This window comes from Homo sapiens, chromosome 6 (genome assembly GCF_000001405.40).
Source record: "Homo sapiens chromosome 6, GRCh38.p14 Primary Assembly".
NCBI lineage: Eukaryota > Metazoa > Chordata > Mammalia > Primates > Hominidae > Homo > Homo sapiens.
The window spans coordinates 153,418,469-153,437,919 of NC_000006.12; the positions used below are offsets into that span (position 1 = coordinate 153,418,469).

At 36.1% G+C, this 19,451-nt stretch overlaps 1 long non-coding RNA gene and 1 pseudogene across 3 annotated transcripts in view, besides 1 other annotated feature; one reads left to right on the top strand and one right to left on the bottom strand.

Moving 5' to 3' along the window:
- LOC105378066 (uncharacterized) overlaps positions 1–8,696 on the bottom strand; it is a 122,515-nt gene extending 113,819 nt beyond the window's left edge. For all 3 annotated transcript variants that reach the window (NR_187985.1, NR_187983.1, NR_187984.1), the window contains exons 1-2: positions 8,535–8,696; positions 7,255–7,347 (exon numbers count right to left, since the gene is read on the bottom strand). This is a non-coding gene — a long non-coding RNA (uncharacterized LOC105378066). The remainder of the gene's footprint in view (positions 1–7,254; positions 7,348–8,534) is intronic.
- On the top strand, positions 1,970–2,104 carry RNA5SP225 (RNA, 5S ribosomal pseudogene 225; annotated as a pseudogene).
- Positions 18,609–19,203: an enhancer, noted in NCBI's record as "OCT4-NANOG hESC enhancer chr6:153758212-153758806 (GRCh37/hg19 assembly coordinates)". NCBI's record gives its function as "activates a minimal SCP1, AML or CMV promoter by ChIP-STARR-seq in primed H9 embryonic stem cells {active_cell/tissue: H9 hESC(primed)}" and the evidence as "EXISTENCE:reporter gene assay evidence [ECO:0000049][PMID:30033119]".

The window sequence follows — 19,451 nt, forward strand, 5'->3', positions numbered from 1 at the left end:
TGGACCTAGTCAGTTTCTATTGTGACTTCCAAACCCAGTTTGGCTCAGAAATTTGCTCGAAGACATTGGAGACCCCAAAACACAAATCCGTGGAGCTTCAGAATCTAAAAGAGAACTTGCCGTGATCCCCAGTCGCTATGAGAGGGAAATGGCCACAATGGTGTGGACAAAAAGAGTCAAACTCTGTAAAATATTCTAAGAGATTTATTCTGAGCCAAATATGAGTGACCACGGCCCATGACACAGCCCTCAGGAGGTCCTGAGAACATGTGCTCAAGGTGGTCAGGGTACAGCTTGGTTTTATGTACTTTAGGGAGGCACGAGGCATCAATTAAATACATTTAAGAAATACATTGGTTTGGTTCAGAAAGGTGGGACAACTCAAAGCAGGGAGCTTCCAGGCTACAGGTAAATTTAAACATTTTCTGGTTGACAATTGGTTGAGTTTATTTGAAGACCTGGGATCAACAGAAAGAAAATGTTTAGGTTAAGTTGAAGGAGTGGCCAGGTGCGGTGGCTCATGCCTGTAATCCCAGCACTTTGGGAGGCTGAGGTGGGTGGATCACCTGAGGTCAGGAGTTTGAGACCAGCCTGACCAACATGGTGAAACCCCATCTCTACTAAAAATACAAAATTAGCTGGGCCTGGTGGCACATGCCTGTAATCCCAGCTACTCAGGAGGCTGAGGAAGGAGAATTGCTTGAACCTGGGAGGTGGAGGTTGCAGTGAGCTGAGATCGCGCCATGCACTTCAGCCTAGGCAAAAAGGGTGAAACTCTTATCTCAAAAAAAAGAAAGGTAAAGGATTGTGGAGATCAAGTTTTACTGTGCAGCGGGAGTTCTCGGATAGCTGACTTCAGAGAGAGCAGGTTGTAAAACGTTTCTTATCGGATTTAAAAGGATGCCTGTCTCTTAGTTGATTATTCCCTGGATCTGGAAAGCAAGGAAGGGGAAAAAAAGGCGAGGTGGCAGAGAAGGGGATTCTCTGTAGAATGTGGATTTTTCCTACAAGGGATAGCTTTGCAGGGCCATTTCAAGATATGTCAGAGAAACATGTTTTGGAGTAAAGTATTTTGATTTTCTTCCTTGTTATGCCAGAGTCAGATTGGAAAGTAAGTCATGATATACAGAGTTAAATAAACCCCATCTGATGAGAATTTATGGTTTGTAGGGCCTGACTCCCCAGACCACTTAGATAGGAATTTGAGCAACATAAAAAAAAAAAAACAGAGTTTAGTCCTTGTTGGTGGGTATCTCGCTTAGTCACTCAGCCCTCCTGGGGGTCATTAGATGCTCTACTTTGGAGCCCACTTCTGATGCCATCTATTAAATGAAAAAACTTCAGGTGAATTAAATTTAAGACTTTTATTTAGCAAGGAACGATCTGCGAATCAGGCAGCCTCCTGAGCCAGTGTAGGCTCGGAGACTCCAGCCCAGCCACGTGGTGGAAGATTTATGGACAGAAAAAGGAAAGTGACGTACAGAAAATGGATGTGAGGTACAGAAACAACCAAATTGGTTGCAGCTTGGTGGGCGTTTGCCTTATTTGAACACGGTTTGAACAGTTAGCCCTTGATTGCCCAAAACTTGGTGGTTGGCACAAAAGTAGGCTTCAGTCTGTTTACATCTTCATTTAGGTTACAGTTCACTATGTACAGAGAAACCTTTAGGCTGAACATAAAATACGTAAAAAGGCAGCTTTAGGCTAAACTTGATTTAACAATATAAAGACTTGAGGCAAAGATAGTCCCACAACTTGCTCAAGACCACAGAAATATGAGAAACTCAGAATAACCCTCAAGTACTCGGGCTCCAGACTGGATGCTGTTAACCTCCCCCAGACTCTCATGTCTATATTGCTTTTGGCCTATGACTTTTTTATGTGTGTGCATGAAATTGTGAACTTCTTTTCAGTGATAATCTCGTACTCTTATTTTATCACACTTTTTAGTTCCTTGGGAATAGCTCTTGAGTACGGCCATACCACCATGAATGTGGCTGATCTTGTCTGATCTCGGAAGCTAAGCAGGGTCGGGCCTGGTTAGTACTTGGATGGGAGGAATACGTCTTAAATTTTATAAACAGGACTCAGACATCTATTTTTATGCTTATTTTTAAATGTCTTGATAAAATGTTATACTACTATTACATTCTTGGGAAAAATCTCACTTGGTTTTTTTTTGTGTTATACTTTTAATCACCAGATTTTGTTTGCTAAAATGTTATTTAGAATTTTGCATGTATTTTTCATTGGCCTGTGATTTTTTCTTTTTATATAACATCTTTTTAAAGGTCTTTATTAATATTACACTCAAGTGTTCTTCTGTTTTCTATGCGCTGAATCCAAGCAGTTAAAATCCATGGGAAATATTTTTCCTTGATATTTTCTAAGAACTATTCATGTAATATTATATTGACTGCTCACTCAGCCCCTTTCCCTAAAGCCTGGTAACACAATTAACTCATGATTCCCCGATAAATGCTATTTTCTCATTCCTCCATTTTTATCTATATGTAAGGCTCTTGGCTTTGAATTTGGTTTCTATCTCTTTGTTTGGTTAAGTTCATCTTGGTAAAACAGTAACACTCTCAGCATTTGTTCTCAGTTCTGTGAGTTAGAGTTGATAAACTTTCTCAGTAGGACAGACACATATTTTGCTCAATGTGTGTTCTCCATAAATGCAGATGAGGAAGGAGGGATAATTAGAGGAAACAGAATGAGAATCTCAACCATTTGAGCCCTTACACAATTCTATGATAAACTACAATTTGTATATTTTCTGAGTCATGTGAATTTGTCATAAAATCTATTACTTCTTAATTCACAAAAGTTCCTTGTTTTATTTAATAATAAAGGAGGAAGTTTAAAATACCCATTTTTATAGAGTCATGTGTATGTGGTGTATAAGTCTTTATAGGAAGCATGAACAAAATATAATACAACAGTTTTGATATCTGGGGATTTGTAATATAAGTGACTTTTTAATTTATAGAAATGTAACAAATTTGTAAACAAACAAAAGTCATTTCAGAACAAGCTTAAAAATCTAGTGATCCTATTAATTTACTGAAAGAAACTAGTACCATTCATCTGCAAGACTTATATAGATAACATGTGTTCATTTTCTTGGTTAAATACTTAAATATGGACTTGTGAGGTTTCATTAGAAACTATCAAATTATATTCCAAAGTAGTTGTAGCATTTTTCACTCCCTTCAGCAACATTTCTCCCCACTTAGTATTGTTATGATACTGGCAGGCTGGGGGAGGTTCCTGAATGCCAATGGGACCTTGAGCCCAGGGTCGTACGGGCTCTTGACACCGTCATGAGAATGAATTCAAGGGCGAGTCAGGAAATAGTGAAAGTACTGGCCGGGGCGGTGGCTCATGCCTGTAATCCCAGCACTTTGGGAGGCCGAGGCAGGTGGATCATGAGGTTAGGAGTTCAAGACCAGCCTGTCCAAGATGATGAAACCCTGTCTCTACTAAAAAATACAAAAATTAGCCGGGCGCGGTGGTGGGCGGCTGTAATCCCAGCTACTCAAGAGGCTGAGGCAGGAGAATCCCTTGAACCCGGGAGGCAGAGTCTGCAGTGAGCCGAGATCGCTCCACTGCTCTCTAGCCTGGGCCACAGGGCGAGACTTGGTCTCAAAAAAAGAAAAAAAAAAAAGAAAGAAAGTACAGAGATTTATTGTAAAGGAAAAAGTAGACATTTAAGAAAAGAGAGTGCAGTTGTACTCAAGAGAGAGACATGCACAAGTGGGTTTTACCTTTCTGGGCTCCTTCAACCAAGGGGTTGAATATTCATGAAAATTCTTGGCAAAGGTGGAGATTTCTCAGGTCTGTGGTGCCACCCATTTTTAACCAAACATGAGTGTTCTCAGAACTGTCATGGCACTAGCGGGTGTGTAATGAGCATATAATAAGGTCCTAGGTGAAACCTAGGTCAAATCCAGCAGCATGTTGGGTCAGTTGGTCTTATCCAGCTTGGTCCACACCCTGTTTTCGAGGGTCTTATTTGCCCTTAGCCTCTGCAGATATTTCAACAGTTTCCCTTTGCTAGTCATCTGAAACTGCCACCTGGAATTTTCTACTCTCCTGTGACCACCTTGATTTATTCCTGTCTCAGTATTTGTAAGTTTTGCTATTCCAGTGGGTGGCAAAAAATACTTCATTTTTGCTGTCATTTGACTTCTTGGCTGATGAAAGATGTTGAACACCTTTTCATGTACTTATTGGGCATTTATATGTGCTACCTTAAGAACTGTCTTTTAAAACTTTTTGCTATTATTATTGAATTACTTGTGTTTCATATTTGTAGGAGTTCTTTATGTATTATTGATACAAGTACTTAGAAGATTTAAGTATTATGATTGTATTCTCCCAGTCTGTGGATTAACTTTTCATTTCCTAAATGGTAATTTTGCATAAGCAAAAAATTTAATTTTAATGAAATTCATTTTATTACTTTGTTTCTTTAAGATGGAATTTTTGATGCATCAATTTGACCTGCCAACAGTTTTTAGTTTTTCAAACACTAATCTAAGTATCATTGTGAGAGTAGTTTGCCGATGTGCAGATATAAGTAAGGGAGATTATTCTGGAAACTTTTGGTGGGCCTGCTGAGTGAATCAACTAGGAGGCCTTAAAAACTGGGCTTAGGTAGGAGAGAAGGAATAAAAGTGAGAGAGAAAGTAGGGGAGATAGAGAGAGAGAGAGAGAAAGAGCGCAGAAGAAATTCCACTTGTGAACAACAGCTTCCTATATGCATGGAGTTCATCCTCACCATCTTCCTTTCTTACTGACAGCTTTATGGATTTTGGATTGTTTAACCATCCATTACAATTGTGTAAGTTAATTCCTTGTAATAAATCATCTATCTATCATCTATCTATCTATCTATCTATCTATCTATCTATCTATCTATCCACATATCCTGCAAGTTCTGCTTCTCTGGTTGAACCCAGCTTGGTTCATTAATGTCTCCTCTAAGAAATTATTCTCTACCTCCATATTACAAAGTCATTCTCCTATATTTTCTTCTAGAAACTTTATGGCTTCAGCTTATACATTTAAGCTTATGACCCATCTTGAATTTTTTTGTGAATATTGTAGTGTAATTTTTTCCCTATTTGGGTATTCCCTTTTCCAGTAATGTTTATTGAAAAGTCTTTGTTGTTGATACTGAATTACCTTGTCATCACTATCAAAAATTAATTTATCAAACACACGTGAGTCTACATCTGGAGACAGTATTTTGTTTTTTTCTAGTTTTTAAACTTTATTTCTATCATCATGATTACTGTAGCCTTATAGTGTATCTTCAAATCATGTTGTTTAAGTCCTCCAATTTTGTTGGTCGTTTTTTTAAGTTATTGACCATTCTAGGTGTTTTGCATTTGCATATAAACTTTAGAAACAGCATGTCGAATTGTACAAATGAACAATAGAATTTAAACTATTCCTATATATATTTATAAAAATAATATAATACTCTTAATAATTTTATAACTTTATCCTAAAATATTTCATTACAAATCTTTGATTTTTACAATAAATCCTATCAACTTTCAGTGACTTCATATAAATTTTGCTAAGCCTCAAAAACTAATTAATAGATTGCTGAATCACAAACTTCATACATATAAATGCCTTTGTGGCTTTTCTCCTATAAAAATTCAAGTAAATTAGCTAAGAGTGAATGGAGTGAATTGAGAGTTTCTTTTTTTAATGTTGGGAACCACCTTAGAACCAGCTTTCTCCATGTGCTTCTCCATTCGATTTTTTGAAACTAGTTTTCCTACTGCAGTTTATAATTTAAATTAAATTGACTAAGTATGAATTTTCCCGCTGTGCCCTTCTAGTAATTTCTTTGATATTAAAATTATGTTTGCCACTTGGATATCTTCAGGGAATTGCTCTAAAAAGAATTCATTGGTGGTAATGTCCAATATAGCATCTATGATTTTTGCTCCAACTAATTTTATTCTACTAGGAAGACAATCGTCTTTACAACTGCATACAAATTAGAAAGCAATAATTTCAAATGTCTATCATCACATTTTTATCTTAAGCAAGTCAAGTAAATTGTTGGCACTAACGTAAGCTCCATATAAGGTAGGATTTTTGTGTGTTTTATCTATTGCTATATACCTAACACTTAGTTCAGTGCCTGGCACATTGGACAATACATATTTATAAAAGAAATGAAAAAATTGCACCCTAATATATTTCAAATGTTCAATATTTAAGTAATTTTATATATTATTATTTCAACAAAATAAAAATTACTTAAAATTTCATGAGACAGAATGCAGAAACCAATTGGCAATAATTTTATTTACCTTTCTGAGCTCATAGCTAGACTTCCTTTCTCATTCTGTCTTAGATTAATAATTAGATATGGTAATATGACTCATCTCTGTCCAATGAAATGCAGGCAGAACTAATGAAATCACTCCGAGTTGAAGAGAATGAAATAGAGAAAGGCAGAAAAAAAGCAACTTAGACTTGATCATTATTCCTAGGAAAAAAAGCAAAACACCTTTAAGTTTGATTATTGGCAAATGAAACTGATTTAAAATATACACATCAGAAGTGTTAAGCAATTAAAGAAATGAAACAATTTTTCAAAAAGCTTTACCCATTCAATTCTAAAACAAATTTTAAATAGTCAAATATGCACCAGTAGGAAGTAGGCCACGAAAGCCGTAAAACTCGTAAGCAGGGAAAGTTGCCAAAACCAACTTCAGATGTGTCCATGGAGAAAAATGGATGCAAAGAAACTCACAGAAGGTGACTCCATGGGCCTCAAGAGACATGGAATCTCATTCCTTTCAGAGAGCAGGAATATAGTCATCTAATGAACTGTGCCTGCATCCAGGGTAGGGGAATTCCATAAGGCTCGCTGAAATATTTCCAAATTATGATGTCCAGAGAATACTGTGTGTTTCTGATGCTTCCTCTTGATTGAGTTTTTATTGCTCTCTTTGTTTTTGCTCCAACATTGTACATTGGGTGTATGAAAGAATAGTAGTGGGTGGCTTTCTTATTTTTAATTTCTAGATTGCCATAACTCAGGGGCATATTTGGAGCCAAGGGGAGGAGGTCAGTGGTAGGCCTGTACACCTCAGAAGATGAAGCTTAAGGCTTGGGAAATAAGTCGGGCTGCATTTTATCAGAAGAGGAACGAAATAAGTATGTGGTTACTAGAAAAGAATGTCCAGGGCAGTGTTTGTTTAGTTGTTCACCTACCTCCTTCCTCCTGGGCATGTAGCTACAATTCATTTCCCAGCCTCATTTGCAGTTTGGTATGTCCACATGACTAAATTCTGACCAATGCCACATCTGGAAAATAAAAATAACTTACATGATTTTCAGCTCCTTTGTTCATTTGCTTGTTGGATGTTGGTACTGAGGACACCTTTGAAAGTCACACAATGAATATTGTTCAAGCCTCCATCAATCTGGGTTCTTGAATTGTCAGGCTTAACACCCACCCCCTCATGCCATTTAGTCTTACATAAGTAAGAATTAAACTTTCGTTTAGTGACTGAGGTATGGAAGACTATCAATTACAGTAGTAAAAACTATTATAATATCGAAAAGATAACAAATATCTTTTTGAAGTTTGTCTCAGGTTGAGTTATCTGTGAAGTGGAACCCTGAAAAAGAACTTGAATGCAAATAGTTTATATGGGAGGTTATTGCAGGGTGCAGGTGATAGGGTAGTGGGGGTATGAGGCTGTGGATGAAAAAAAAGACAACTTAGTGTGCATTAATCAGGTTACTACTCTACTCCCTGTGGTGACTTCTAGGACAGTGTGTGGAATACCTCTCAGAAATAAGTAACCCAACAGGCATGAAAGCTGTGTCATTGCATAAGCCCTTCTTGTAGAGACATCAAGCCATTGGTCTGTTTAGCCTGTGCCTATGCATGCTTGCCCCAAACATCCTGTTATGGGATGAGTTGTGTTTTCCCTACCCTCTCCAAATTCATGTGTTGAAACCTTAACCCTTACTGTGATTGTATGTGGAGACAGAGCCTCTAAAGAGGTAAGATTAAATGAGGTCATATAGGTGGGACCCTAGTCCAATATGACTCATGTCCTCAGAAGAAGAGAAAGAGACCCTAGGGATGCACATGCATAGAGAAAAGGCCATGGGAGGACACAGAGACAAGGTATCCACCTGCAAGCTGAAGAGAGAGGCCTTGGAAGAAACCAACTCTGCTAACACCTTGATCTTGGACTTTCAGCCTCCAAAACCGTGAGAAAAATCCTGTTCAAGCCACTCAGTCTGTGCAGCCCTAGCAAACTAATACACCTACTCCTACAGCCCAAGAAAGCACACAGGCTGAGAAGCACATGTCCTTATAGTAGGAAGCATGAGAATGCAAAGGATGAGTGAGGTGCTGCCAGGGCCGACTAGAGCCCCCTTGCAATGCTCAGAGCCACTAGGGTCCCATGTTAAGTTCAGGATATCCTGATAATTGGTTTTTCAAGTGGTGTCTTCTTGCAGTTATCGAAACTTACAGCAAGAGGATGGTAGACCAAGCAGCGTTCACCACTTCTGCATTTGGTGCTGAGCGTTAGTTGATATTTATACTCTCCCTCCTCTGCCTGTGTTCTAGATTCCCCTCAGCCACACCCAACAGTTCTGTTCTGCTAGTGGAGCTTGCTTGCTTGCAAGCTGTGACCTGCACCCACGATGGGTCTGACTTCGTGCTGACCATGCCTTTGTGACATCATGATTGTTTCCATTGCTCATTTTGGCTGACACCAGGCAGAAAATTGGCAAGAGATATTCAGTAAATAACCAGAATTCCAGACAAACTCCACATTCCTTCTCTATGTAATTGTGCCTCTGAACTCATGATAATAAGAATGAATTACTTCTGCTTTTATATTAACTCCTTTCTTTGTCTGCTGGTCTATCAGGATGAGTGGTCCAAAGCAACCAAGTAACAACATAGTTACTACCTGGTATAAGTGCCCACCTACCTTGCAAGACCGAGGCAACCACTAATTCTGCAGGCCCACAGATATTGGGATAGGAAACAATTTCCTGAATGGATTACTAGAAGTTATAATGAAAGGTGCCATCCCTCCTTCTATCCTTTGGTTCCTGGTCCATGTGGAAATAAACAAAGACCACACAAGTGAGATCAAGCCGAGACTCTTTATTCACAGATTTTTATAGCAGGGGAGGCAGCCAACATCACTAGAATCCCTAAAGTTGGTGAAGACTCAATGGCAGGCAGGGGAACAGGAAAGTTTTATAACAGACAAAAAGGGAAGATTTCAGGTATCCTCTGAAAAGAGTGTTGGTAGGGTAGCTGGAGATGGGCTAACTAGAATCCTATGTGATTGGCTTGGGTAACATATTTGGCCTTCTCTAGTTGTCCTAAGTTATAAAGGTGGCAAAAATTAAGGAAGCTGGAAGTTTTTAACTAAGTCCTGATTGTTTTGGGCTGATTGTTACAGAGCTTATTTGGCTTCCTGGACTGGTTGCTGCAGATTATGGGTCAATGTCCTGTTTTTATATATGGTCTAGCCATTGTCCATTCACATATCCAGTTTATCATCCATGTATTCTAGTTAGTGGGGACAAAGCACCATTTGATGGCCATCGCTCAAAATAGGAAAATGCACCTTTGAGAATAGAGCAAAAACTTTGGAAAGTGTCATCCCCAGGCCAACATCGTAGCTTTTTTTTTTTTTAATTAAAAAAAAAGAGAGAGACCAATATGACTCTTACAGGCAGAGAGGTTTTGGTTGATATGGTCAATGGATGGATCCCACTGCCATATGTTCACTGTTGTGCTGCTTTTTACCATAAAGTGAGTCTTTTAGGTTTAGGCACTATTCTATGGGATTTCATATTCACAGATCAGATCCCCTATGAGCCCTTGAATAGTGGACTGCCCCAAAAGTTGCAGTCTTGGAAACTACTCCATATATGAAATAGGTATCAATTTCTGTAAGAACAAATTATTGCTATGTGTATCAAAAACATTTCTACGATCAAGAAGATGAATGTTAAAAATAACAATGAGATCTATTATGTGTTGTAAACATTTCTTTCTTTAGCTCATGAACACTTCTTTAATTAAAATCCACTGACAGAGCATTAACATGAACACTAAAATATAGGTTTGTATTAATGAAAACAATAAAACATCTCACTGGTAAATTAACTGATCACGAAATCATTCTGACTGTATCAACATGGAACTTTAAACTTCTTAACACATAAAAAAGACATGTTATAAAAAACACAAATATCTTTTGAAGTTTGTCTTAGGTTGAGTTATCTATGAAGCAGAACCTCGAAAAAGAAATCGAATGCAAATAGTTTATATGGGAGGTTATTGCAGGGTGCAGGTGATAGGGTAGTGGGGATATGAGGCTATGGATGGAAAAAAAGACAATTTAGTGTGCATTAATTAGGTTACTACTCTATACTTTTATACTTTATAACGAATATTTAAAAGCCATATACAGAAATAAACACATGCATATGTAATCATACTTAGAAAGACTTGACAACACACATGTCCACCAGCAGGTTCCTTAAGAAAAATGCCACCTTGGATAAATGTCAATGCATTTATATACAAGGTAACATTGTAAGCAACTCCCTGACTTTCTAAGAAATAGTGCACAACTTCTTAAAATACCTCATACACACCTTCATATTCGTTTATTCAAAAATTGTCAAAGATATATTGCAAAAAAATTGTATTTTTTGAAATAGATATTATGGGGAATTACTGCTTTGTGAAATACAGTTTGGGAAATATTCATCCAATGTAAAGCCTGTTGGCTGGTAATAAAAAATGTAGACCCTATTTGCTCTTTGTTTGTATTTTTTCATACATAAGAGAGTTATTTAACTTTGTTTCCTTAACAGGAGTTGGGAATGATTGCATCAAATCTCTTTACTCAGTTTTTTTTTTTACATGGTAAAATAATAGCAAGGAAAGAAAATTGAATAAAATCTAAATACTCCCAACAGACTATTGTATTTAACAAAGAGAATTTTTATTGATTTTGTTGTATTTTTATTCCCCAAAATCTATCACTGGCTTACAACAATTATTTAGTTATGCTGAAAAATATATTTAAATTGATTATGTATAAATACAGATTTGCTTATAGTTTCTGCTGTTATTTTTTGTGAACTTAGAAATGTTAAAAATGAAAACCATGGGATTTCTGACCATCTTCATTAAGTTATAATTTACATACAATAAAACACACTGATTTAGAGTTCGATGACTGTGACACCTGTGTAAACCCTTCCCTCTATCAAGAATACTTTTTCCCCATGACTTTCATTACCCACTCACCCCACAGCACTCCCTCCTACCCAGGAAGCCACTGTTATCATTTTTATCATGTTGAAACATGTATATGTGTTTGTATCGCATTTCTTTCACTCCGTATAATGTCAATAAGATTCCTCCATATTGTTATATATAGCTGCAACACACTCATTTTTCTTGTTGAGTAATGTTCCATTGTAATAATATAACCAAATTTTGTACCCATTCACTGTTGATGGACATATGGATTTCAGTTTTTGGCCATGATTTCCACTTTTTGATTTTTGTTATCAATAATGCCATCATAAACATTTGCTACTGAAGTCCCCTGTGGACATTAATTTCATGTTATAAGAAACTGAAAAAAACAGTTGTTCAAAGTGGAAGTACTATTCTACACTCTTACTCTCAATATATCAGGGTCTCAAGTGTTCTACATCCTTGTAAATAGTGTTTTGTCAGTATTTTTAAGTTTAGCTATTCTGCAGGGTGTAATTGGCACCTGATATGGTCTGGATGTTTGTCCCCTCCAAATCTCACGTTGAAATGTGATTCCCCAGTGTCGGAGGTGGGGCCTGGTAGAAAGTGTTTGGATAATAATGAATCCCTCATGAATGGTTTAGTGCCCTCTTTGCAGTAATGAATGAGCTCTTGCTCTGAATTTAAGAGTGGTTAACTCTGGTTGTATAAGAGTGTGGTTTTTCCCATCCCCCCACTCTCTTGCTTCCTCTCCCTTGCTCCCTCCCTTGCCATGTGATGTCCTGCTCACACTTGGCCTTCTGCCATGAGTAAAAGCTCCCTGAGGCCTCACCAGAAGTGAAATAGATGCTGGTGCTATACTTTCAGTATAGCCTGCAGAACTGTGAACAAATTAAGGCCCTTTTCTTTATAAATTACCCAGCTTCAGGTATTCCTTTAGAGCAATGCAAAAGGGACTAACAACAGCATCTCTCTATGGTTTTAGTGTGCCTGAGGGTATTATCATCCTTAGAAGATTTTGGCCCTGGGCGTGTTATTCTAAGTGTGTGTGTGTGTGTGTTTTCATGAACAAAACTTTAAGATTAAAAAAATATAAGATAAGTTGGAATCAGGGACTTTGAAGTAAATATGTTTAAAAAAAAACAACCAGCAGCAAGGAACATTTAAATAATGATGAGATGTTTGTTCATCCAAAGTAATGTATTTATAATAAAACAAGAAAGTAAAAAAGAATATGTATTTATAGTAAAACAAGAAAGTAAACAAAAGTTGTAGGAAGAAAAAAAGGAAAATGAGTAAAAAGAAAAGTTACAAAACCAAACTACAAAGAATTTGGTAGTATATAAGCTGACTATATAATTTATTGTCCAATTAGGGTACTCTAAAGAGTGAAACGGGGCTTTAAAGAATGGTTAAAATTAGATAATTTAACAACTTTTTTTGATCAAAATAATTAGTTTTATTATATTGGTGGGCCTATAAAATATTTTTATGAAAACCAAATTTTAAAACATTTTAAAATTTTAAAAACATTTTTTCAAAAAATTAACAAATCTGTACACATTAAGCAACATTTTAGAAAATATGTAATATTGAGTATCTAAAAATAACGATGTACAAATTTCAATATTGAAATTCATCCTTGTGATGTGGAATATCTTAATTTGTGAGAATAATCATTTGATAGTGTTCCTACATTTAATTAAATCAGCTTATATCCTATATCAAATTTGAAGGAATATAAGAAATCTTTGAATTTTGTCACACCTACATTTGGCAAAATAATCAGAATATAAATTATTATTTGGTGAGTTGTCTGATACACATGTTTGCTAAAGACAGAGTCTGTGAAACAAGACCAAAAGACAGATACTCTGGAAAAATTTAAGCTATAATATTTATATATTTACATGACAAGTTTATAACTGACAATATTCTCTAATAGTAGTTGTTCTACACATTGCAATTCTAACATATATAGTGGCAATATTTTTATAAAGCATATTTGGGTCCAAAGAGATGAACTGATTAAAGTTGATAATTCCAACTTTTATAACCACAAAACGTGACTTTGAAGAAAGGGATATACACTTTTGTGAACAACTAAGAAATAATAAGAGCATGGTAAAACAAAAAAAAACTTCAGAAATAACCAGGGATATATTAAAAGCAGATATGAATAACAAATATTGACATATGTATGTACATTCTATTATAATCAATTTCTTTACATAATATGTAATTCTCAAATTTTCAATATAAAATAGTTATTTTGAACTAAACTACTTGTTATTATGTTTTAAAAAGGATTTTCTTTTTCAAAATTGTTTTGGAATAGTATTTTAAAACATCCATATTTAAATTGTCAGGAAATAATAATGTTTTTTGAGATGAGTTCTTGCTATATTACCCAGGCTGGACTTGAATTCTTAGGTTCAAGCAATTCTACTACCTCAGCCTCTTGAGTTGCTGGGAATACAGGATCAAGTCACTGTGTCTGGCTAAATAACATAATTTTGTGCAATTCTCCAGTATATCCTTTGGTATGGCTTGGACCTTTGTTGCCACCAAAATCTCATGTTGAATGGTAATTCCCAATGTTGGAAGTGGTGCCTGGTGGGAGGTGACTGGATAATGGGGGGGCAGATTTCCCCACTGGTGCTGTTCTCATGACAGTGAGTGAGTTCTCAGGAGAACTGGTTGTTTAAAAGTGTGTAGCACTTCCCCCTCTCTTCCATCTACTCCAGCCATGTGAAGATGTGCATGCTTCCCCTTTGCCTTCCACCATGATTATAGGTTTCCTGAGGCAACCCCAGCCATGCTTCTTGTACAGCATGTGGTAGCATGAGCCAATTAAACCTCTTTTCTTGTAAATTACCCAGTATCAGGTATTTCTTTATGATGGTGCAAGAATGGACTAATACATCCTTGTTGGGCAATAGACTTATAGCTGTTAAATGATGTCAGTTCTTCTGAAATAAATACAATTCAATACAATTCTGACCAGAATTCCTATAGGAACTTTTGTGACACTTAAACTGCTTTTAAAATTTATATATAATGCTAAAAAATGCATTACTATATATTATTGTAGGTCTAACATGATTTAAGACCAGGTGACGTTGGTTCATGGATAGAAGAATAGATGAATGGAACAGAATCAAGAGCTTAGCAATAGAAATATGAATCCGTGGAAATATGGTGTATGATGTCCCTGGCATTGCACCCCAATGGGAAAAATGTATCAGACAATAAATATTTCCGAAACATGGGAAACAAATATTATCCTTATTTCACACCCTACAGAAAAATTCCATGTGAATCAGAGGCTTCAATTTGGTGAGGTTAGCACTATGATTTCAGAATAGGAAGATAATTCCTAAGCTATATATTTCTATTCACAGACCATAAAGGAAAAGATTAATGCATTTTTCCTGAAGGAAAATATTAATAAAAGTTTCCATTTGTCAAAGAACAGCATAAAAGATTAAAAAGAGCAAAGAGTGGGAGAAAGTACTTACAGCACAGCTTCTGAATATTAAAAGTAGAGAATCATCCTACTCTTCAATTAGAAAACTTCATTGTTATGAATAGGTAATTTCCAGACAGGGGAAATGCAGGGCATACTAAAAGCACATGACAAAAAATCTGACAAATCTGAAAATTCTCAGAAAGCTGGGGAATGGACAATTGTCCTGCACTGCTGAGAAAGTGTAAACCGACAGAGTGATTCTGAAGAGAAATCTGTCATTATTTAGTGAGATTGATTGTATATATACCAGATGATGCAGCTATCCTATTTTATGACATATAACTCAGAAAAACTATCACAAATCCCCAGAGGGACAGACATGAGTATATATTTATCAGATCATTAGTTAGTGGGCTCATCAGACAATCTAAATGGCTACCTGTATCCATTTGCTAGGGCAGCAGTAACAGAGGGTCATAAACTACATGGGTTCAATGATAGAAGTTTATTGTCTCCCCGTTCTAGAGGCTAGAGGTCTGAAATCAGAGTGTCAGTGGGTTTATTCTTTTTGAGGGCTATGAAGGAGAATCTGTTCCATGTGTCTCTTCCAGCTTTGGTGATTTGCCAGCAATCTTTGGCATTCGGCTTATAGATGTGTCACCCCAATCTCTGCCTTTATCTTCCTGTGTTGTTCTCTGTCTTTGTGCCCAAATTCCCCCCTTTTATAAAAGATATGAAACATTTTGGATTAGGGCCCACCTTAATGATCTTGCCTTAATTTAATTAAGTCTGTAAAAACCCTACTTCCAAATAAAGTCACTTTCAAAAGTTCTAGAGGGTGAAATTTCAACACATATTTTTGGGAGGACATAAGTTGGCCCATGACAGTACCAGTAGAAATGTAAGTAGTTAAAACATATAGGACTCTTCAGCCGGGCACGGTGGCTCACGTCTGTAATCCTAGCACTTTGGGAGGCTGAGGTGGATGGATTTCCTGAGCTCAGGAGTTTGAGACCAGCCTGGGCAACATGGTGAAACCCCATCTCTGCTGAAATACAAAAAAATCAGCCAGGTGTCGTGGCATGTGCCTGTAGTCTCAGCTATTCGGGAGGCTGAGGCAGGAGAATTGCTTGAACCCGGGAGGCAGAGGCTGCAGTGAGCGGAGATGGCGCCACTGCACTCTAGCCTGGGCAACAGAGTGAGACTCCGTCTCCACAAAACAAACAAACAAACAAACAAAACAAAACGTATAGGACTCTTCAAAGGAGTACTAAAGTAGATTAAAAATATAATGTCGACTTTGCTAAAGATTATTAATAGCTCATTACCATTTAAAGTAAATTTGAAAAAATACATAAAGTACATTGCTTATTTTGTAAATATTAATGTATTTTATAACAATATACACCACAGCTATAGAACCAAATCATTACAGAGGTACATAAGGAATAGAAAGGTATATGTACCCAGAAGATGATGAAGGGAAAAATAAAATGAAATAATTAAATTATTTTAAAATGAAATCTAATAAAATATGAATATGAAATTTATAAATAAGAACTGGTCTTACAGAATTGATTAGAATTGCTCATCCTATACTGAGTAATATTACTAAATTGAGTTTGTGTTCCTGAATTCCCAAGTAAAACCAAAAATATTAAAAAATTAGGAGATTCAAAGCAAACATTTTTTCTTCTATATTTTCTTGAAAAACTCAAAACTTAGCCCACTGTGTCTTTACTCCTTTATGGCAACAAAAACACTGTTCCTGAGTAGCAGCTGTATCTTTGAAACGGGACTTATGTTCTTGTAATAGCATCCAATTCGGTTTCACTCATCTGTAATCAGTTTGGCACATGTAAACATGTGTTTGAGACTATTTCAAAGTGTCTAGCAGAACAGGTGAGGCGATATAGATAAATGAGAATTTTGATCCTGACTAGAATGTATCACGTTTAAAGTATGTTTGTACAGTCAAGGTCAGTAAATTATCTTGATTTACTGTCTAAGCCCTGTTGCCTACAATCTTATTTTCCACCTTAATACTGTTTCCAATTCAGAGTCTATAGGAGAATCTCTTTCATGGCTTCCAATATTATTTATTTTACTTGCATACACTTATTCCTACTATAGTGTTATGTATATAAAGAATGTCTATTGCAACTGGAGCTATTGGGAATAATATTCTTATTTTGGAATGTAATAATTTTGCTCATTTGATATAATGCATTTTAATCTGGCCAGTAAAATCCAACCTTCTCTAAACTGCATGTATTTTTAAATTTTTAAACTCCTTATTCAGGTGAAAACAATTCATAATAATGTTCACTAAGCATTGTCATATTTTTCCCCGGAATGTTTGCACTCATTGAAATGTCTACCAACAGTACAGGAAAGTGTCTATTTTCCTTCATCTCCTCTTCTGACTTGTACTTTCTGTACATTATTACTTTTTAAAAGATGTCAAACTGTCTATCAAACTCCAATAATTATCTATGCAAATGCAGTACACACACATGCACATGCACACACACCATCCTTTCTTGTGATAGCACTTTTTGTTTTGTAATGCTGTTGAATTTCATTTATTGCCAACACTCATAAGAGACCTGGGGATTGTTACACAAATGGCATTTCATTAGCAGATCAACTCTCTCTAGGCTTCCTGAAAGCCAGAAAAGAAGACTTTAGGCTTATTACTTTGGGAGTGATTTAACCAAAATTGTGTATCTTCTGCTAGAGGTGAGTGGTGAGTCATAGAGGTGATGTAATTCTAAATCTTACTGAAGTAAAACTGCATACTTTCATATTTAGAGATAAATGTGGAGGAAAAGGAGAGAGAATACATTAGGAAAAGAAAGAACAGAACTAAGATTTGCCTCTCTGTTCAGTGAGGACAAAATTCAAACTATCTCCTTTGCAAATAACTTTATGCATTGCATTTGATGTAGAAATAGGATTATTGAAACCATAAATATCAACTTGATAGAGTTGTTAAAGGCATATATGAATACATGAATTAGTGTTTTTTTATGGCAGAGAACATAGGCGTTCCCTTCATTACAAATAAGACCCAATTTTTTTTTTTCAAACTAGAGTTCCTATGAGAAATGGCAGCTCTCATTGACTTCACTGGATAGTGCTGATACGTATATAAAATGTCCTTGAAGGAGCTCAGGCATGTGGGTAGAATGTTAAGAAGTGGGGTGCAAGCAGTGACTTGTATGCTTGCTTGTTTTGACCTGCCCTTTGTGTTTTCACTATTGTTAAGAGAAGGGCTGTCCCAAGAGGCTGCTGCCCTTCAGCCTGGGTCTCAGAATGAGATGTGGAGCACACGTGAGAAGCCTAGGCCCGTGGAGTGAAGCAGAGCTACCCTGCTAAATCTAGCTGACTCCCAGACATGTGAGTGAACCCAGCTGCGATCACAGAGCTTTACTGGTGGATGTGTAGATCTGTGAGAAAAAAAATTCATATTGTAATATGCGGCTGGTATTTGGGGACTGTATATTTTGAAGCAATAACTATCAGCTACATCCTGCAACAGAAGTTCTGAATATTTTTGTTTTCCATTTGTATAGTATAGTCCTTTATTATGTAAAGACCTGATTTAAAAGACCGTTTTATGTGAATGTACCATTATGTAAATCTCCTATTTTTTCTTCACCTCAGAAAAACACTCTTCTATTATTTCTTTGATTATTGCTTCTAAACCATTGCTTCTGCTTTCTTGTTAAGGAAACTCAAATGTATTTATTGGACTTTTTATTCTTTCTTTTTTGCTCTTTGTTATCTCAGCATTGGTCACATTTTAACCTGAATTCTGAATGGACTTACTATTACTTCCACATCATTGATTCAATTTTCTATAGCCCAGTTCATTTTTTTTTTTTTTTTTTTTTTTTTTTTGCTCACAGCAGAGCTTTAAGCCCTCAAATGTAGCTTTCCTTTTTAATGATACATTTATGCTTTCCTTTTCTTAATATATTCTTTTAACTTTTGAATTTATTTCTCATTATTATGTTCCCATAATTTGGACTGAGAACACAAACGATTTTGTTTCTAAAACATTCTTCTGTTTTTCAAAACAAATTCCTGTTGGTGTGCCCTGCTGTTTTAATGATTGCTCTGGAATTCCTTGTTTTCAGCGTTTAAGCTAAGAGTGAGTTTCTAGTCAGCTGTCTCCTAGTTAAATGTGTGATGTTTAGTCCTCCGTGTGTATGTGCTACCCTAAGGAGGAAACTCTTAGTTTGTATTCTGTTATTGTTTCTCATGATTTTTGTGTCCCAAATATAGAGAAGGCAGTTAAAGGGGTAAGGGTTGGGGTTAAATTTCAGTACCAGAGTTCTCAATAATAGCCTATTAATAAAGCATTTAATTAGTTTTTCCCCTAAAATGCACTTGTCTGTTATAGATATTCTATATTCCTGAAATATAGTAGTTATTTAACAAATACTGCTTTTAAATAAACAAATAATAAATATATCAGAGTGTTTCCCATTTGACTGACGGAATAAAAAGCCATTTTTTTTGGTAAAGTTTCTTTGACTTTTAGCAGTCAGTTTTCTAGAAAACCTGTGGTATTTACCCTGTACCCACTACTGCAAATTGTTTGAGAACAGTCTATCAATATCTCCACATAGTACTAAAGTGGCTTTCTTAGTACTTATTATC